Raw genomic sequence first — 22,261 nt, forward strand, 5'->3', positions numbered from 1 at the left:
ATGAATATATACACATACCTTTATACTTATGGACTTCACTTATACACATATGCGCAAACACATATAAGTGTATTCTCATGACAGTTTAAAGTGTGACTTGGCCATAACATAGTAAATGAGTTTACATGGGCAGAAGTCATAAAATTCTGATAAAACAGAGCATAACTTTTTTCATCGGCATTGAAAGGTCCATTATTTTAGGTGTGTTTTTTAGATTATATTATTAAGGAACAAAATTATTTTGTAGTATTGTTCAGGACATGTGATGGACACGAAGGCTTTAAAAATAAGGGGAGACTAGAGACAATGTTCAACCTTCAGCTTACAAATAAGAATGGGTTCAGGGAAGCCAACATAATTACCCACGTTAGAAAAAGAGCTCTTCTAACCCCGACAGGTTGTCAGGATTACAACAATAAAGAAAACTTTTTTAAAAATGTTAATAACTGGGGAAAGAAAAAAATGTAACTTTTTAATTTTAGCAGTGAGGTCACAGGGGGTCAATCAGAATCTAAGACATATGATTAAAAAGACCAAAAATGTAACTGTGCAAGTTTGGATTATTCATTTCTGCTATCAACTCAGTTTTTGAATTCTAAAGCAACCTAGGAAAGAGCTTAGCTCTTGCAGTGGGTGGTGGGGCAGAGTTACAGACCTTATTTGGTACTCTCATTGCACTATTTATAATTCTGTACAAAAACAGACATTTTTACAGCATGATTTTGTAGTTGTCCTATCTCTAGGGGATGTGTAAAAACAAAATAACAAGCATTTTTGTTAGGTTAGACTTGATATGTAAATTTATGACTAAGATAGATCGATATTTTCTTCAGACTAGTGATTTTTTTTCTCTTCATAATATAAAAATAATTTTAATGAGATAACAGAAACAAAGTTTAGTTAAGAGGCATAAAATTTGTAGACATGTCAGAATTTCCTGATAAATTTGGATTTTCAGCCTACTTACAGCTGTGATTAAATAACAAAATTCAGGCTGGGCGTGGTGGCTCACGCCTGTAATCCCAGCACTGTGGGAGGCCGAGGCGGGTGGATCAAGAGGTCAGGAGATCGAGACCATCGAGACCATCCTGGCTAACACAGTGAAACCTCATCTCTACTAAAAATACAAAAAATTAGCTGGGCATGGTGGCAGGCGCAATATTCCGAGCTACTCGGGAGGCTGAGGCAGGAGAATGGCATGAACCCGGGGAGGTGGAGTTTGCAGTGAGCCGAGATCACGCCACTGCACTCCAGCCTGGGCGACAGAGCGAGACTCTCGTCTCAAAAAAAAAAAAAAAAAAAAAAAAAAAAAATTCAAAGATATATCTAGAACATACTATCACAAAATAAATAATTCTACATGCTGCTACACTTTGATAGAGTGTTGGTTAATTTTAAAAACATTAGTTTTTATTATACAAGTTCCCATCCTCCCCCTTTCATTTGGATAAAGGAATTCCAACAAGAGAGTCGAAATTGAGAGCAAATACCTTTGCCATATTTTGGATCTTATTAATGATGCTACTTGGGGGGGAAATCTGCATCCTGTAGCTTGACTTTTCATGCTGATTTTGACTTGTTAGATTTAAGTAAAATGACATATCATAGGTTAATATGAAGTAATAAAATAAAAGCTTAGCTTAAGATTTTGTAATCTTCATCAGTGGATCTGTTCTGAGGTGCTAAAGGATTTTCTATAAGGATTTACTTATTTATTTTTGTTTTTACTTTTACAGCAATATAAAAGGACATTGGAAGCATTCTGAATCCTCAAGATGAGCACTTTGCAAGTGAGTTCTGTTAACTGATTTTATAGCTGTATTTGTGATTATCTTTCTTGCTTCTGTATTGGGGCTAAAGAACTACTAAAATGGCATTAGGATTTAATGTTTTGCTTCTCAAACTGGGATCTTTAGATATCTGAGGATCTATTGAGATATTTTTGGGAATCAGTGAGTTCTCGCTTTACTACTACTACTACTACTACAACACACACACACATACGCACACACACACACACACACAGGAGTTTCCTTTAGTTACTTTATAAAAAATGGATGTTGAAACACTATTGATTCTTGGATCCTGTTAAACATGCTTCTACTTCTTCCTCTCCTAACTTGTGAACATCCACTCAGGGGAAAAAAAGCAAAATGTACCATATGATGGGCAGGAAGGCTGGCAAGAATCTTGTAATCTCTCTTCATCAATGGATCTGTTCTGAGGTGCATCAGAATTTTCTATAAGGATTTACTTATTTATCTTTCCTTTTACTTTTAGAGCATATTGTTGGCAAAAAACTCGGCTGGCAAGAAACTCACAAAATTATTTTCAAAATGTAAAGTTTCATGATAACAAATCATTCATTTTTATTAAAATGAATAGTGAAAAGGCAATGATGACGTTTTGCATGGATAAAATAGTAAGAAGCAATTTCAACAAATAAAGGGTAAAGCAATGACACAAGTAAGATTTATGAATTCAAAGCTCATGCTTATTTCACTTGGTTTGTGAAATATGCATAGCGCTTCTCAACTACAGCTTTTCATCTCTTGAAGTGCCTTACTTATAATGCTTTTTAGTCATTGTATGACACATAATGAATATGAGTTGCACATCTTACTTCAAAATAATACACTATACCTTACTATGAATAATCCAAATACCTAGAATAAAAAATCATAACTTAATAGTGTCTCCAAATATATTTAGTTCCATGGTGAATCTAAACATTAAGTGAAAATAGCATATATATATTCTAATTTTGCTCAAAATATGTTAATTTTGCACAAATCCTTGAAACTGATTGCCTTTGACCCACCCCACCCCCAAATCCCTCTGCTGTACATAACTCTTCTGGGTGATAATGAGGTGTAGGAGAGCAATTTTAGCAAGAGTCTGATAATGTTGCTCTGATACCACACTAATTGGTACAGATCATAAGGACATTATATTTTTGTGATCTACCCCTCTCAGTTTCCTTCTAACCATTAGTGTCAGTGGGTAGAACTGGCTATACATGATGAACATACAGCTATATAATTAGTTATCCACACTGACCTTGATAACTGTGACTGAGAAAAACAACAAATTGTGCCATACCAGGAGACTCTTTGGCATATAAGCTGAACCTAGCCCCTTAACCCTTTTATAAATAATTCAAATTAATACCTTCTTATCCTCATTCTTTTTCTGTGGTTCAGTTCAACTCAGACTTCTCTCTAGATTTTCCCCCATGTTAGGGGTAGATTATCACTAAATACTCTTATCTCTAAATACTGCTTATTTAATTTCCATGTGTTTTTTTTTCATAATAAAAGCATTATATGGTGGGAATCCTATTGCCATGGCAACCAGGAGTGGCAGCATCACATCATCTGAAACCTAAATAATGCTTAACAAAACCGCTGCTGCATTTTCATCTCACCTTGTTAAAATGATGTACAATCTCTGCAGTGCCTGCACTGTTATTTTATTTGTTTCTTCACAAGGTCTCAGTAACCTGTAATATATTCTCATGATTTCATATCTACTTTTTTCACTAATTAACATTGATTCATTTTTCCCCACATAATTATATAAGTTATCCACATCAATATTGCACATGCATTCCTATTTTTAAGAGAGTGAAATACACTGAGTCAAGTTAAAGTGAAAAATTTTAGATGATTTTGATATAACTCATGTTATGTGCATTTCTATAGAAATAGCTAATGTCATTCAGAAATGAAAAAGTTTTTTAGATAACACATTAAAGCTGTTCAGGCTGACATAATATGCACTTACAGTATGAACTATGTAAATAGTATATGCTAATTAATTGGGCACCAGAGTGATTTATCATATTTCACCACACATACAAGGATTGTAACAATCGTAGAATATAGAATGTAGTATGTGTCTCTTGAACCATACACACAGTATTGTCTCAGTGTCAGTGCTAGGATGAATAAAAGCATTTCAATTTGCTTATTTTTTGAATTTCTTAAGTTCCTGCAGCATCAGGGATAAAGAAAATTGATGAAAATACAAAGGTGAATAAGACAAAGTACTAGTCTTCAACAGTCTAGTTTTAGTTGGCAAGAATAACTATTAATTTCCTTGGTTATTAAACTATTATTTGTTATCCTGCTGATTTAAAAATCAATATTTATCTTAAAACTTATTTTTTTTTCATTGTTTTAGAGTCAAAGAAGTGCTTTACTATTCATTTGTAACTTAGATGCCATTGAAGGAAGGAAAGACAAGGACCCGACTCATGCTGGAATCTGGAGTGGGTTTTTCAGGGGCAGACAGAAAACTGTTTTACTATGAAAAAAGATCAGCGGGGCATCTTATGCACATTATTGGATTGTATGCACATATTGCCAAGGAGACCTCATGTTTTTGTTAAATATATTAGTAAAGACTTTTGGGAATGCTCCTCAAGCAAAGGAACTATACTATAGAGACTACTCCACGTCTCTAGAGTAGTGACTTCACCAAAACCTCATGGTCCCTCTCCCAAAGTCCTATAAGTGTCTTACTTCTCAGACCAATATTTTAGTCTTCCCATAATATATGTAATAAGACATTCTAGGGGAGGTTGAAATAAAAATACAATAAAATTTTGTCAGAAATCAGAATTGTCTTCATTTGTGAGATATATAAATTATCAGTGAAAAAGTTCTGTTAGCTGTTCTAACACATCTTGTTTCTGACAGAAAAATGATGCCCTTGGTTATCCCTACTTCCACTTGCAAAATACAGTATTATTGAAAAAAATAAATTATCCCTGTGACTATTAAGATTTTCTTAAAATGGGATTTGGTCTTTAGCAGAAAATTGTATTACATTTCATCCTTACTAAGCAATTTACTTCTATGCTTGATATACATTTCAATTGCCACTTTGGGAGGAAGCTATATTTTGAGATGGTTGGAAAAAAACCTTACCATTCTGTCAAGTGACTCATGCTACTTTTTGTAAAGGCTTATACAGAAGTTTTGATAAAAGGAATATTTAACTACCTTCATGGTCAGTCCTTTATAGATTTAAGAATAAAAAAGTGATTGTGGAATTGTTTAACTTACTATTATTTTTTTCATTCTTATTACCCCCTTTTCCCCATAATATCCACACACTGTATTCTTGTCTAGTTCCATTCACTGAGATCATTCTCATTCATCTAAGAAGTCTTGGTCTTCTTTTGTGATTGGGTTATGAAGAGTTTAAGGTCAAGATGACATGACATTTTGATGAAACCCTTTGACATTTGCAACTTTTTTAACAAAAGCATTTAATGCCAGGAGCTTTTTGACATAGCACTGTGATGTGCAATTTTCACATAATGTTGTTTTTGACATGGCTTAGGAAAACTTAATTTTTCAGCTTGTATTATCATTATTGGCCTCACCTTATCATTGAGCTAACCTCACCGTACAATGAGGACAGGAGAGAAGGTAGGTTCTGTGCAAAAAGCAGGTGTTAGTGCTAGAGTAAAGTTTAGGCAAGGGTTACAGAAAGGGGATTAATCCCAATCCAGATGAAACATCATGTATCTAGGAATCAATACTTAACCTCTTTTCACATATCACAATGCCCATCAATTGTTAAAATAAGTATGTGCTCATTCTCTCAGGACTCACCTGCATCTGTGATTGCTTTATTTCAAACTTTCTTATTTATTTGCATCAACTATAAGACCTGGAGAAAGATGGTATTTGAACACAACAAGATCACTTATTATCATTTCAAATGGCTTAGGAAGTCCAGTTTTTCATTTTATTTCTAATAAATAGTTCTCTGTATACAAATTACATATAATATTATTAAATGGAAAATTTGGGAGATAAACCTGATATCCCCTTAAAGAATAATGTATATCTCATATTAACATATATCTTTATTTTGTATTCTAGAGGTAGCATCTAATTATGCAAATGTTTAAATAAGATATAAAGTATAATACTTTGGTAATTGAGGTCTGGGCTAGACATGTCTGTAGTGGATATATTTTAGTAAAAAGAAATGAGATTTAAATCTAATGCCTTAACAAGGTTTTTTTTTCACTCCATATTAAAATGACTGAATCAAAATGGCAATGTCAAAATATATTGTTTCAAAATAGTCAAGCCAAAAATGATTGCTATTAAAGAGTTGGGCATTTGAAGAGGTAACTACAGTTGAATTTCTTTACCTTTCTCATTTTTTCTAGTAAGCTTTATTAAATCCTGTGCCTATGTTGTCACTGAGGTGTGAACTTTAGCTGAACGATCTTTGCACCAAGATGTCATCAACAGCATCATGGTTCAGAAGAGGGATTACAAATGCCATGTAGTCAGTGCAAATGCTATGTGGTCAGTCCCCATAGCAAAACCCACTGCATTACCGGATGAGATCCTTGAGGACTGAACCAGAGGAAGCATGCCATCTTTCTTAATAATTGCCCGATCCTATTGCTTACATTTTGCTATGGGAGAAAGGTGAAATAGGAAGTAGTTGAAAAGATTTTGTAGAAAGAGATATAGGATACACAAAATTTAATGAATCCTTATTTTCCTGAAATGAGCTTCCGGTATTGCTCACACCTAGGACAGTGGTTTACACCATGCTGTAGTCAAGTCTACCTAGGCTATGAAAACAAGATTAATCTTTTCTTCCATGTCTCCTTATTTACATTAGGAAAGTTATAAATTCTGAAGAAACAGAGTGGGTGTTTAGGAGAGGGCCATGGTGGGAAGTCTTCAATAATAAGAGTTAAATATTTATTTTTTAAAAAGAATTTCTAAATAAATTAATGACCGTACATGTTACTTGGGTACTCTTTGGTTGACAGTAGTGGAAAATGAAATTTTTTTTTCTTCCTTGGGGATACCTAACCTCTTCATGACTTTCCTATTTTTTATATTTTATTTGATTTTTCATTCCTCTTATTAGCCAAAGTTTTAATACTTTTGCATTCTGCTATATTTTCCTCTTGGAAGATTGTCACTGAATACATAAAACACATACATGCACACAGTTTACAATCATTCAGATTCTCTCCTGCCTCAGTCTAGGGACTTGAATCACAATATGTTGAAATACAGAATATAAAAGCAAGTTGGTTAATGTGCTGACAGCTTATTTTGTTTGGAAGTAGTTGCTTGTAGATGGGATATAAATTATAATTATTTCACAAATAGATGAAGAAAAGCTCCTGAACCAGGGAGAATAAGATTCTCTGATATATGATGAGGTATCTTTTTTATATATCTTGAAACACCGATTTAGCTATCAAAATTGTTTTCAGTTCTGAGATAAACATAATATGAAAAAAGAAATAAAGCTAATTTAGTCTGGTGAATGTCTCAATATAAACAGTCTAGATATAAGAAACATGGTTTTGTTATTGAATCACTAATTTTTCTTTTTAGCCTAGAAATCTAATTATCTGAAGGCCTTACCGTATTATTTATACAGGACTAGAACTCTCATATTCAAGTGTCTATTTTGTTTTCTCCCACAGGCGTAAAGAAGCCAACCTAAAAGAAGGACTGAGTGGGAAATACAGGACAGTAAGAGGCCCTAACTAAATTCAGCCACTTTAGTATGTGGCTGGCACACACTAACTGAGGGCAAGAGCAGAAAATACTCCTCTGGGTAAAATAAGATTTTCATAGAACTCAGAGAATTGTCTTCTGGTCAGGGGAGAAATGGCACTTCCATCAGTTAAAAAAGTATTATTATAGTTAGAACTTGATATTGCTAAAAGCTATCCCAAAAAGAGAGTGTGCTGCTTTCATCTACTTGTGAATGGAATTGGGGCTAGCTGCGTTTCTAAAACATCATAAGATCTCCTCAGATATTTCACTCTCTTCTTCATTCCAACTAATCAAGGACACATATTCAATATTTTGTCCAACATTTAAATCATTATTACTCAGCTATTTCCAGTTTAGGGTTGCTAATACCATACATTTATTTCAATATGTGGTGTCCATAGAAGATGAATTTATTATGTGGTTTATAGATAATACCATCTGAAAAATAGATATTTAAGAATTCCACTGGTAATGTGCTTTTTTTTACTATGAAGAATTCTTTTTATTTGTAGACTATTTTTTAGTTGCCAAATTCTTGCTCTCTCACATGTTTTTGGAGTTTCGCTGCCATCCTGTGAGAGAGGCAAACTGCAGCAGCTCTGGAAACCACTTGGTCAGGCAGTGGCTGTCACATTGTGCTTGAAATGATGAGATGCCTCACTTCTCCCTCATCACCACTGAATAGAAATTCATGCAGCTTGCAAAGAATTATACCTGATTTCCTTTTAGTTGTGGCTAATGCTTGTCAAAAGAAGAGTGGGAGAACTGGAAATGGGAGAAGCTTTCCTTGACACTTTCATCTTACCTTCAGAGTAATGTTCCAAGAGGCATAGCTGGAAGATATTTGGAGGTGTTCAAGAATCCAGGAGCTCACAAATTCCAGCAACATATGAAAAAAGAAGTCTTAGGGCAGTGATGCTGGACTCAAAAGCTCAGCAAAGCTTTGTTTTGTTCCTAATTTAGTTTTTTTCTCTCATCACTTTCCTTCCACACTGCTCCCAGCTCAAGAATCCAACAAAGACTCTGTTTTCCCTTTCTCTTTATGTGGATGACAAGAGAATGAAGCTGCTTTTGAATGCATGCCTCAACATTTTTATGTGCTATAATTTGTACACTCACTATAAAAGCCACTCAAAATAGCTTCAGATGCCACAGGTTACTCATCTATGCAATGAAATAGAAAAGGCTTATAGTTTACTTTCTGAAATATTTCTTTAATGTAGCTAGACTTTCATGTCTCTTTTACAAGTTTTAAGTCTTGTTTATTAGTAATCATTTAAATATTTGAAGGAAATAATTATACATTTTCATACTTACTAGTTTTATTAGTTATAAAGAAATTAGCATATGACATCCAAGATTATAGCTTAAAAATTAATATTTTGTATTCCCTAAGGTTTTACCATATTTTAAAAATATAATATAATTGCATGAAATTTCATTTCACATTTCATAAAATGCTGGCTTGTATCTTAATTTATTTTAGGTCTGTGTAAACGTGCTAATACATCTGACTGGAATATAATAAAGTGGTTATTTCTATGTCTGACTGAAAGTTATAAAGTCCTTAGAACCAGAAGCTGAATGCAGGAAACCCATGGTTGTCATGGTAGCCATGAAATCTTTAGATGCTTCCGAGTGAGTATTGATCAAAAAGACAAATACAGACCATTCTCAAAATTTTGTGATCTTACTGTCTGAGGTCATTTGAAAGTCCCTATTAGAAATATCTATCTTAAAAATTACAAAAAATCTATACAAATGGGTTACATTTGTATATAAATCTATACAAAATCTATACAAAATTGTATAAAAAATCTATACAAAAGAGAATGTATGTATTTCCTATAGATGAAGATCAAATAATATTAATTATATCCTTTTTATGATTGGAAAGGGAAGGGCATTTACATCAAATGATGTACATGAATCAAGTTGAACATATTCCTATAATTTCTAGATTTCCAAAGTCAGACAGAATACTAGAACTACAGTCAGTTCACTAATTTTCAGCTATCAACTTTATACATTTTCATCCTACTAAAATATATGTAAAGAGATATAATAGCTATGCTCTTTAAAGTAATACTGTTATCACTCTCATTTCATATATGGAGAAACTAAGGTTAAGAGAGATTAAATTGCATCTCTGAAGGTTTTTAAAGTTCCTATTTCTATATATAAGTATATATATTTTTAAAATTACTGAAATTAGGGTAAAGATTTCAGGCAGAAAGTCATTTTTCTCTATATATCCTTTTGTCTTACATTAATCAAACTTATCAGTGAAATACATTTTAAGGCAACACAATATAATTTTAAGGGAATTTAAAAAATATGATATCAACTTAAAGTATCATACACATTTGTGATATTGCCCCAGTGCATTTGATTTCCATTTATACTTTAAAATATAGTGCCATTTTTTTTTCTGTGAATAAAAGTATCTAAAATATAGATGAGCCAATTTAAGATACTATAGAAAGGAAAACTTGTTTAAAACTATAAAGCAAAAATTATACCCAGCTTTATACTTTCATGAACTTTAATTACCATATTTAATATCCTTCCAAAGAGTTTATACAGAAAGTGCTAAAATAAACCAAATTTCCTTCCAGGTAAATATCTCTTATCATTTAACTCTTAGGCTGTGAAAAAAGTACCACGTGCAGGCACAGGGCATTAAATCTTCAATACTTTTTATCACTTCTCATCATCTCAGAATATTATATGAAACTTAAAAGGTTTCAAAATGAAACCTTAAATATCAAAAGATATTTAAATATCATATTTAATATATCATATTTAATTTAATTTAAATTAAATTTAAATATCATATTTAATATCAATTTAAATATCATATTTAAATATCATAGAGCCTGAGGGAATAAGCGTGGAGATCCTCAGAAAAGTGATTCTTTAGGTAAGTGGAAGATTTGGAGATGTCTACTTTCATATGATCCCAAGGCATTTTCTACAATCAGCTGGTGGAGCCCTCTCCATTCTTCCCTTTAGGCTCTCTTTGGGAATCATTGCTGAGCTTTAGCTCTGTAAAGGAAGAACTGAGGCAATCATCTAGGATAGGAAGGAAGGATGGGAAAGGGAAGAGCCCTTTTATTCATCCAAAAGGATAAATTTTCAGTTACAGCAAATAAGCTTAGAATTTATTCTGTGATATGGGGGGTTTTAAGCAAATTATTAAACATCAGCTCTACTGAAATCATAAGTACTGATTGGAAACTATAATCAAAATCCTAAACACCTTCTTCCTGTGTGTACCCAGGTTTCAGGTTGCTTTCCAACAACTTGTATACAGCCCGGTACACAGATACACAGAAAGTACCATATGGAGACACACAGAAACTTGTCTTCTCTTGGAGGTCCAAGACAGTTTTAGAGCCAAAACATATGCTACAAAAGTTTTGTTCTATCAAGCCTGAAACTTTGAATGTTAGCATCCATGATCACAGCTGCCTGTTCTACAATATCTGACATATTTGCATTACTGGTATTTTCCATACTGTTGTCTGTTTCTCCTCTGTAAATTACGTGACAGTTGATAATCTCATCGCCTTTAGTCTTTCCATTAAGTACTGCAAGAGAAATATGCCTATCAAATCTATCACACATCTGCTCATATCTTCCTTCTGTACAAAATTCTTGGCTGTGTCATACATAGTAATACCTAATAAATATTTGTTCGATGGATGAATATTTCCCAAAGGCTTGCAGCAGAGATTCTAAAACTTTGGGAGACAGAAATAAGTGACTCATCCCCCATAAGAATAAATCGGTGGGAGGAGGTGGCAGTATGTAATACAAAAAAAAAAAAAAAAATTTACATGTTCAATAGATCTATTATTTTTCTAATGCAAACTACTAAAATACAACTTGTTTTGCCTAGTAGATATGTGTAGAAAATTGACTAAAAACAAATATTAGAGGGAATACAATTTTTAAAAGGTTGAGAAATATTGGTTTGAAGTTAAAAATTTTAAACTTTTTTTGTTTGTTTGGCATCGGAATCCTTCATTGTGACCCTTGTGAGTGATCCAGGCTCACCTCCACTCACTCCACATGTGGATACTGCCCCCTTCTTCTCCTCATAACCAGAAGCATTATGACCTTCCTGGAATATACAGTGCCTCTAACACTTCCATTATGAAGCCTCTCCTAACTCCCACAATTTTAACAGCACTATCTCCTAGTCTCTCCTCTTAACATGGCCAAAAATAGTCAATTCAATTATTTCCAGAGTATGTTTGTCTTGACATTAATTAAACTAGTGCCAAAGATTATAATACTAATTGTGAAACTAATTTAAAGAATTTAACAGACCTTAGCATTACACACTAAATAAGATATTGGTGATTTTAAAGAAGTATTGAAAGTGACTTTAAATAGTTGTATAGGCTAAATTTTCCATGGCAAATGTGTCAAGTTGAACTCACTTTGAATATTATTTATATGATATATAATGAAAATAGATATGTGATCAATAGAATATCCTGAAATATTCATGAGTTATTTTCATCCAATTGTTTCAGACACTGATAATTTTTTAAAGTGGAATTTCAGTTAGTAATCTTAGTTGTTTTGAAAATAGATTAAATTTTAATTTAATATGTGAATTTAAAACTAAATATATTTTTGCTAATCAAATATATTTAAGATAAAATTTTAATAAATATCACATCTTAAACTACTATTAGGATATTTAAAATGTACTACCTATATTTGCTGATATTTCTTCTCTACTTGAATCTTAGTTGACCCTTCTCACCTCTTAATTTGGCAAATAATATCTTCCCAAGAAGATTGGTCTTACAGAGCAGTAAAAAGAGCTTTGTAAGTATTCTCGAAAATACTTGGGAGAGCATCTTTTGCTTTGGTTAAAATTATGACTTTTTTTTCCAAGTATAAAATTTGTTCTTACTGAGAGACATCACTATTTTGTGAATATTAATCACAAAATAAGTTATTGTGACTTAATATTGCTTTAAGAACCTATTTAAATATACCGGCAGTATAAATAAAATCTAAAAATTGTAGAAAAATAACCTTATATGTGCATGTTTGTGTGAAAATTTGTGTAGATCAAGACCAAGTCAAATTTATAAACAATGCAATTTTTGATCACTAAAGTATAAAAAGATTTTGGAGACAGAAATGGTCAATACTTGCAAAAGCAAATGTTTTATCGCTTAACCTCTGAATTTTGAGTTTTTCTCTGATTAACCTTCTACTCTATGATTATAAGCACATTTACAAATGTTATTCTAGCATCCATTTTTAAAAATTTCTAATGCATATGGACATTATTTTTGTGGAAGTCCAAAGAGTTATTGAATAAAACTTTCCTACTTATGTGTTTATACATTTTATTTGTAGAATATGTTTCAGTTACTTATAGAACGAATACTTTTGTTCTCACTAAATTGGTATAATATCATATCTACTAGACTTTAAATATTTATATCTTTGTTTAAACTTTTAATTTTGCCAGAAGAAAAGAACAAAAGCAGTTAGATCGTAGAGAACAAAAGAGCTTAATTTTGCAAAATAAAAGTGCTCTTATTAATAAAATAGTGTAGCCCCATAAAAAACTAAAGAAATGATATTAATAGGAAAGTTTTACAAAAATATAAACATTATCAATAAGCATGAAACAAAATCTCTTTTCATTTATAATTCAATAAAAACAAGTTAAAATAACAGCAAGATAATTGTTTCTTCTTCCTTTTAGTAAATAAAAGTTTAATGAAACCCAGTTTCGGCAACAATGCTGTATTAGTTCGTTCTCACACTGCTATGAAGAAATACTCAAGACTGCGTAATTTATAAAGAAAAGTTTAATTGACTCACAGTTCTGCATGGCTGGGGAGCCCTCAGGAAACTTACAATCATGGCAGAAGGCACGTCTTCACAGGGCAGCAGGAGAAAGAATGAGTACCAGCAGGGGAAATGCCAGATGCTTACAAAACCGTCAGATCTTGTGAGAACTCACTTACTATCTGGAGAACACCATGGGAGAAAATGCCCCCATGATCTAATTACCTTCACCTCGTCCTGCCCTTGACACATGGGGCTTATGAGGATTACAATTCAAGGGGAGATCTGGATGAGAACACAGAACCAAACCATATCAGATGCCCCAAAACAAACTTTTGTGTACTTCTTGCTGAAGAAGTGAGTTGATGTGGATTCTTTGGAAACAATTAAAAAATGTCTGTTACTTAATTGGCATTGGTAATATGTTCACAGTAATTGCAGTTTAGAAATATATTTTAAGATTTAGCTGCACCCCAGAAAATGCCACCTAAATTTATAGTGCCAGAAAACAGATCATTGGTTGCCTAGGGAAGGGGATAGGAAGAAGGGTGTCAATTCAAAGGGACAACTTTTGGGGCTGGTATATACATTCACTGTGTTGATTTTCATGATGGTTTGAAGAGTGGCAAAATCTAGAAAATTCTATGCTTCATACGCAATCATTACATTTCAATTATACCTCAAATCTGTTGATAGAGATATGTACAAATATAAAAAAATTTTGTCAAAAGTCCCTTGCATGATCATTTGAAAAAGGACCAACCTGTACGCAATCTCCTACATGCATTGTATCTACCAAAAAATTGTTAACTAGAAAATATTCACAAACTACCCTTTATTCATAAGTTACTTTAAAAAACAGAATAAATAAAAGTATGTACAAAACAACACTAGAAGCAAATTGATAGAAAACTTACAGAGAATGTTTTCTTTATTCAAAATGTGCACATTTTCTAATATTGTTTTACTGTGAATTTTATTTTTTAAAAAGAAGAAAAATATTTTAACAGATAAATAAGACATAGACACTATGAAAGACTGTATTCACTGAGTAAATCATGCCAAATTATTTCTTTGGTTGCTATGGGGCAACTAAACTGTTATATTCTGTTGTTAAACTAAAGAGAAAGCATTTTAATTTAAGCAAAGTATACAGCAAAGGGTTGATTGTATGTTGTTTGAGAAAAAAAAAATGATAGCTCAGTTTGCTTCACTTTGGCTATGGTTTGAATGTCCGTTCAATTTTAAAGTCTGTGCAGTGCTATTGGGATCTATCCTGAATGTTTATCCCCCATGGATATGTATGGGACTGGAAGGTTTTCTGTTACTTCACTTCTCAAAGTCTTTATTTAGTTTGCTGACTAGGATCAGATTCACACATGTGCAGCTCTGGGAAAGAAGCCCAGGATTTTTATGAATAATTTTATGGCTTTGATTTCCTGAGCCTTCTTTGCAATTTCTGCAGTACTTTCTGGTTCCCCTGGGCTTCCCTTTTTAGTCCTTTGGCCAGAAAGTTGGTGTTTTCGTTACTTCACTCTGGCACAGACTTCTGTGGCTGTGCCCACATCTGGGGTCAAAACAAAATAGCAAGGAACAATTGTGAAGATAATTCAGCTCACACTTTTAGGACCACAGCACCATTGATTGGACAGGAAGATTTTGATCCCTAATACATTTGGTTCCTGTGGGGTCCCTTGCAGGTGTTACTGTTATAGACAGGATTGTTTCGACCTAGGAATAAAGGACCTCTGCTAGAACTCTCTGTGTCTCAGTGCTCACTTCAGGTTTTGGCTTAATATGACCTTAGGCAGGGGGTAATAGAAAAATAAAACTGGTAGACTCACCACTGATTCCTTGATGCTTCAAGTTGCCATTCTTTCCTGACTTTCTGGCAACTATTTGGTATTCAGAGTTCTCAAACAGCAAATGCATGCATTCTGCCCAGATTTCATAGCTGCATTCAGAGGGAAAGACATGGTGGAGTGTGCTTGCCCCAACGCTTAGAATTAAAACCCAAACAAATACTTTTTATTTAATAAATTTGCTACAAGTCTTTTTCTATTAAATTCAGTTCCAGTGGGTCCCTTAACTGTTCCTTTGACTAAAGCATATGACTGGAGTCAATAAAATTTACATATTGTTATGATTTTACTTAAGAATATGTGCATATAAATATTTCACTTTAAAATTAGCTTTATGCATATCCATTTTTCTCAAGCTCTCCCTTTGTTCACTTCAGCAGTGGTCCAGCCCTGATTGTCTCTTTAAGTACGCTTGCCTACAGTTCATAAATCATAACGTGTAGTTCATATCAATGATATCAGCAAGCTTTATTTTAAATTTAAAAATTAGTTTTGCATTTTAAAAAGCTTTAGAACAGAGACTATTTCTCTAGATGCCAGAAAGCCTGTCATTTTCTTTACGTAATTCAATTAAATGCACGTGTACTAAATGTGAAAAATTGACAGAAGAGTTCTAAGGGTATAGAATGAACTAGCTGGGAAATCTTTGAATGTTCACATGAATGGTGGATTATTCCTGGATAAGGGAGATGTTTTACTAATTAGCATGCATATATCAATTTATACAGTTTAGCCAAGGTTATCCTATGCTTTGGAAGCAAGCTTCATGAATTTGGAGACTATGAACCATTGGCCAGGGCCCAGGGGAGATAGAATATCTGAATAGTCTGGCTTAAAATTATTGTTTAATTTTAAGGCCCAAATATTCATCTTTATACTTATATAACAAACAGAAATTTGTTCATGAAAGCTGGGGCTAAGTAGATTTTCTTTTTTCTATCATTTAACACAGATGCAAAGCTTGACCACTTCTGACCACCTTGACTGCTACCTACCCGGTCCAGGCCAATGCCTTCTATTATCTTATCATTGCAATAGCCTCCTAACTAGTCTCCTTGCTGCTGCTCTGTACTCTACAGTGGAAGATCCAGAACAGATAAAGTCATCCTTTTAGGACTTCAATCAGATCATGCTGCTCCTCTGTTCAAAACCCTTCAATGAGATCCCTTCTTCACTGCAGTAAAGCTGAACTCAAAGTCCTTACAATGGCCCACAACACCATTTGTTGGACTCAAGATGTCTCTAACCATAGCTCCTACTAATATTTTCTCTATCTTCCCTGCTTCAGCCTTGTGGACCTCTCTGCATTTGTCTGAACATACCAGAGACACTTCTGTCTCAGCAGGACCTTTGTACTGGCTATTCCCTTTATTTGGGATTCTCTTGTCCCCTGAACTCATATGGTTCATTCCTCCCCTCCTTAAGTGGGAGCTTAAAGGATAGAGTTCAACGAGGCCTTCCTGGCCACTTTATTTAGAATTGCAACTTTCTATACCATTGATCCTTACTATTCCTCTTCCTGGCTTTGTTTTTTTCTATAATTCTTATCATTATCTGATATATAGTGTATTTTATTTAATTTATACATTAACATATTATCTGTTTACCATCTCCTAGATGGTAAGCTACAAGAGAGCACAAATTAATGTCTGTTTTGTTCACTGCTATTATATCCTCAGAGGGTATAAGTGTGCATAGCACTTAACAAAATCTAATAAATATTTATTGAATTAATAGGTAAATTCTTTAACAGGTGCTTGTAGATATAAGAGCATGGTGCTTACTATACTTATACACTGGACAACACAAAACTGATTCTGACAGCTCTCCAATATCGATAGATTTCTAATCAATATTATTCAACAAAGTTCTTCAGATAAGAAGTGGAGTGAGTTCTGCCTCTTCTGGATTTCCTTCACAATACAGGGGAGTTTGATTATAGTTATATGGGGTTGTTACAAAGCCACTGGAGTCCATCTCTGGAACATTTTTCATACTTATATTTGACTTTCCAGTCTTAAGGCAATTGCCCTAGATTCTGGTCTCATTAACTCTCAGCTTTTTTATGACAGTAACTTCATAACTGGCTTTCCAATTTGTCTTATTCCCCCAGTCTATCATACACATTGCTTTTTAAGTAATCTTCATAAAGGATGGCTCCAATTTTGTCAGCACCCCCACTGAAATGTTATTTCATAGCATTTGGGGACTTTCATTATCTGTTTGTTTTTTTGCCTTAACTACCAGAAATGATTCCATACTAAATGTATTTTCTTCTATGCAATTAGAATCTCTTTACTCTCTAAACCTATCTGATATTTTTCATCTTCCAAGCTTTTGTCCAATGCTATTCCTGTATTTGTCAGTGTGTGATCCCACCCAAGTAGTCCTGGGTCATAAGTATGTATATAGAATTGAAATCTGTGTTAATGTCATTCTGTGGGAGAACCCATCTATAGCTTCCTTCATGTAACTCACAGATTGTCTAGAAGGAGGGATCTAAAAAATTTGCTGATTCCATTCAAGCTGTCCACTGGATTGTCTTCCATCTTCCAAACTCCAAGGAATACCTCCAACCACATTCCACGAGGAAGTGGGAGAATGAAGAATGGGGGTGCCCATATTCAAAGCAGTGACCCTGCTCTTCAGCAGTACTTGGTATCGGTATTTAGTTGGTTCTAACTTGACCCCCCTCAAAGTTTCCTCTCAGCCAATATCCTAGGAAAACCCATCCTCATTACACCCGTTAAATGTTTCAAAAGCCTATAAATTTTGTGACTTCTTCTTCTTACAGCTGGGAGTGGTAAGTATGCCCTTAACAAACCTATTAGGGAGCTCAACGAATAAACAGAAAATTAAAGTTCTACTGCTAAGATATTTTAAAACATGGTCAGCACACAGGATGGTCATTTGACTCCACGGGAGAGATTGTGAAAAAGCTTTAGGATGGGTTTAACTTCTTTCTTTTCTTCTTTTCCTGATTTATTTCAGTCTCTGCTCCACCTCCTCTTTCTCATTCTGTGTGCGTGTGTGTGTGTCTTAGTAGATGTGTAGAGAGCAGCATATAAATTGAATAGAGATGAAGTTAAAATGGAGGTTGAGATTTTTATTGGAAGGCATGAAATAAGAATTATATTTTTCATTGTTATAAAAATGATTATGAATTTGGAAAGACCTTCCAAATCAATCATATACAGGATGAAATAACCCATAACAGGCACATATGGCAAAACATATGTGGCCTAATTATTGGTCATACTGTAAATGGCAGAGATACCCTGTGAAGGCCTGGATGGTTAACAAAAAGAATGACAGAATTATTTAAAATGATGAATGAAGTAAGGGGAAGAAGGAAGTGAGATAAAGTGTGGTATGTGGAAAAAAATCTCTAGATTTAAGTTTCTACTGAGTTCACCCCCCCACCCCCAACTTTGTAAAATAGGAATTACAGTTCATGGCTGCTGCCTGGATATAGAGCTTTTGTCAAGATGAAATGAGATAATATTTGTGATAGCATTTTGAAAAACTCATGCATTTTCTACAGATTACGGTATTAGTAGCAACTCTTTAAAAGTCAAGGCACTTACCATATCTCAAAGTATTAAAAGATAAAGTACTTATTTTCAGAATTAAGTTTTAGACCATGTACAATTATGCAATTTTTAGTTTGTTAAAATGATTTTTAAGCTTGGAAAAATTTGGGGACAATTCTAGAAAGGCTAAAATTTGGGCTGCTCCTTGACCCAGGTTTCCTAAATGGTGCCCCAGATCAATTGCCTATAGTTAAGTAGATGGAGAAAGTGTAGCATGATTGTAAAGTTTCATAATAAGTCCACGGCATTATTAAGGAATGATGTAATGTTAGGTTCTTTTGATGTATTATGTATTCTTGGCAGGTCTCTTTAGCCATTTCCAATTTTGAACACTTTTGCTCTCTTGGTTTCTTTGTTTTCTTACTAATTGATTTTATTTGGGATAATAAAAAAGAACCAAAAAAAGCAGCTTAAAAATAATTTAATCCTTCTTTTTAGTTTTATGTTTTATCAATTTTAGTTTTGCTTTTTATTATTTATTTCTTCCTACTCTCTGTTGCGGGAAGTCAGGGACCCCGAACGGAGGGACCAGCTGAAGCCATGGCAGAAGAATGTGGATTGTGAAGATTTCATGGACATTTATTAGTTCCCCAAATTAATACTTTCATAATTTCTTACACCTGTTTTTACTGCAATCTCTGAACATAAATTGTGAAGATTTCATGGACACTTATCACTTCCCCAATCAATACCCTTGTGATTTCCTACGCCTGTCTTTACTTTAATCTCTTAATCCTGTCATCTTCATAAGCCTCAGGACCCTGTGATGGTTGTGTTAACTGCACAAATTGTTTGTAGAGCATGTGTGTTTGTTTGAACAATATGAAATCTGGGCACCTTGAGAAAAGAACAGGATAACAGCAATGTTCAGGGAACAAGAGAGATAACCTTAAACTCTGACTGCCGGTGACCCGGGTGAAACAGAGCCATATTTCTCTTCTTTCAAAGGCAAATGGGAGAATTGTCGCTGAATTCTTTTTCTCAGCAAGGAACATCCCTGAGAAAGAGAATGCATCCCTGAGGGTAGGCCTCTGAAATGGCCGCTTCGGGGGCAGCCGTCTTTTATGGTCGTAGTTGTAGGGATGAAATAAGCCCCAGTCTCCTGTAGTGCTCCCAGGCTAGTAGGATGAGGAAATTCCCGCCTAATAAATTTTGGTCAGACTGGTTGTCTGCTCTCAAACCCTGTCTCTTGATAAGATGTTATCAATGACAATGCGTGCCCGAAACTTCATTAGCAACTTTAAGTTCGCCCCGGTCCTGTGGTCCTGTGATCTCGCCCTGGCTCCATTTGCCTTGTGATATTCTATTACCTTGTGAAGCATGTGATCTCTGTGACCCACACCCTATTCGTACACTCCCTCCCCTTTTGAAAATCACTAATAAACACTTGCTGGTTTTGCGGCCTGGGGGGCATCATGGAACCTGCCAACATGTGATGTCTGCCCCAAGACACCCACCTTTAAAATTTCTCTCTTTTGTACTCTGTCCCTTTATTTCTCAGACCAGCCGACACTTAAGGAAAATAGAAAAGAACCTACATGAAATATCAGGGGTGAATTTTGCCTGATATCTGGCTGAATTTCCCCTGATAACTTTCTTTGGTTTTTAAACTTTTTTTAATTTGAGTATTTTCTTTAATATCTCTTCTTTAATGCTATAGTCATTTTGATGGTACATTTTGCTGTCTTTACATTCTGATAAGACAGTGTTTTCTGTTTGTTGTTTTCTAGATAATGAGTGATTTCAGTTTTTTATTTATTCTTTGACATTTTAGAAATATGTTTCTTAATTTTCAAAGAGTCAGAATGTTTGTGGTTAACACTAAAGTTCTTTTTCTAAATTTTGGGGGAACTAAGGTTATAGTTTTGGAACTTTATTAGTTATTTGGCTAAATAAAACAGTTTTTAAAGATTTAGGAAATTTTCACAGTGTCCTAAAAACATATATTTTATGATAGATTTATTAAATAGAGTTGTTGATTTTATTTGTTTAATTCCCCTATGTCCTTGCTTATTTTTACTTGCTAGTGCTGTCAGATTGTTAAATAGTTATTAAAATATTACCATTGTTCCCATTTAGCCTATTTTCATTGCATTTATAATACTTTTTGAATTAATGTTGAGCAAATATTATTATAATATTGTTTCAATGTTTATATATATTTCATAAATTAAGCATTGTATCAGTATATCATTTTTCTTTTTTACTATGTTTTGTGTTTTCATTGATTTTTGTCTTACTTATTTGGATAAAAGTTTTCTGTCTTCCATTGTCTACTTTTTAGCTTTGTCAATTTACACAGGTTTTGACAATGCCCACCCTCTCCTTCAATTCATCTCTAGAATATTTTTATTGCAAAACAATGTTTTCAATTCTTTGAAGGTTTTTTTTTTTATGCTGGAACTGAGCAAATGTCCTTGCTATTCTTTTTTTTTTTGTTCAAGTGATCAACTGTTTTTTCATACAGTTACATTCCACTTGGAGCAATTTTTATAGAAATGTTGTCTTCCTACTTCCATAATGTGGACTTCTTCATTGAGGATCATGTTTAGCAGCTGAGATAATTTACACAGAAGGGATCTTCTAAGTAAAGGCAGGACTAGCATCTGTCCCTATAGGCCAGCTGCTACAGACCTGAAAATTGTCATTCCTCTGTTAGGGCATCAGATGCAAAGGCTGTCACCCTCTAGCTCTCAAGATTCAGGCAGAATCTGCTGGCTTTTTAGCTCTCTGCAGCTCTCCTGTAGCCAGATCACCCCAGGATACTCATGAGGCTTAGCTACTCCTCCATTCAGGGCAAGATTGCAACTTACAGTTGTGTTTTGAAGGAAAATAAATACAGGCCAAATTCTTGCTTTTGCTCTGCTCCCCAAGCCTGAACACCAGCATTAGACTATGTACAGGGGCACCTAGTTTTTTATATAAAGAGCGCTTTCTGCTTAGCAAGCTGTCTGCCCAGAGGAGGGATTTTATTTTGAATCACCCATCGGAAATAAGCACCTTTTCCTAGTTTCCCAGAGGCAGTGTGTAGGCCAGTGAAGGCCCTCCCTTTGGCGTCTACAAATCTTCTTATACAAAATGTTCTCTCTTTCTCCCTCTCTGTCTGTCTGTCATGAATCATTACCCTGGAATTCTCAACTGCAAGTCTCCTGGCTCATTTTAGGATCCAGGACTGAAAGAAAAAAGGATGAGAATCCTTTACTAGCGCTAGCCATCCTGGACCCTCACAGTTTCAAAAGTCTTACTTGGGCCCTCCAGACCACTTCCTTGAGACTCTAGAGTCAGTTTAGCTCAGAAGAAGTAATTAATTATTAAATTGGAGTTGAATGGGTATGAACAACACAGACTCATTTAGGAAGCCGTTTTTGCAGCATCCTATAGAATCTCTCTGGATTTTGAATTCTTAAAG

At 34.1% G+C, this 22,261-nt stretch overlaps 1 long non-coding RNA gene across 2 annotated transcripts, besides 2 other annotated features; it reads left to right on the forward strand.

Annotated features, from left to right (window-relative positions):
• The first annotated feature begins 1,735 nt into the window (after positions 1 to 1,735).
• Positions 1,736 to 14,285, forward strand: LOC107986049 (uncharacterized). Of its 2 annotated transcripts, none has more exons than XR_001740571.1 (3): positions 1,736 to 1,790; positions 12,335 to 12,413; positions 13,312 to 13,420. It is a non-coding gene; the product is annotated as an uncharacterized LOC107986049 (long non-coding RNA). The 2 variants fall into 2 exon arrangements; XR_001740572.3 differs by lacking the exon at positions 1,736 to 1,790 and adding an exon at positions 8,310 to 9,203 and having other exon boundaries at positions 13,312 to 14,285.
• Positions 18,429 to 18,598: an enhancer, noted in NCBI's record as "experimental_66028 CRE fragment used in MPRA reporter constructs". NCBI's record gives its function as "activates a minimal promoter by MPRAs in K562 erythroleukemia cells, with activity observed for both the introgressed and non-introgressed 3:161939302 variant alleles {active_cell/tissue: K562}" and the evidence as "EXISTENCE:reporter gene assay evidence [ECO:0000049][PMID:34662402]".
• Positions 19,589 to 20,122: an enhancer, noted in NCBI's record as "NANOG hESC enhancer chr3:161940377-161940910 (GRCh37/hg19 assembly coordinates)". NCBI's record gives its function as "activates a minimal SCP1, AML or CMV promoter by ChIP-STARR-seq in naive H9 embryonic stem cells {active_cell/tissue: H9 hESC(naive)}" and the evidence as "EXISTENCE:reporter gene assay evidence [ECO:0000049][PMID:30033119]".

Source organism: Homo sapiens, chromosome 3 (genome assembly GCF_000001405.40).
Source record: "Homo sapiens chromosome 3, GRCh38.p14 Primary Assembly".
Taxonomy (NCBI): domain Eukaryota; kingdom Metazoa; phylum Chordata; class Mammalia; order Primates; family Hominidae; genus Homo; species Homo sapiens.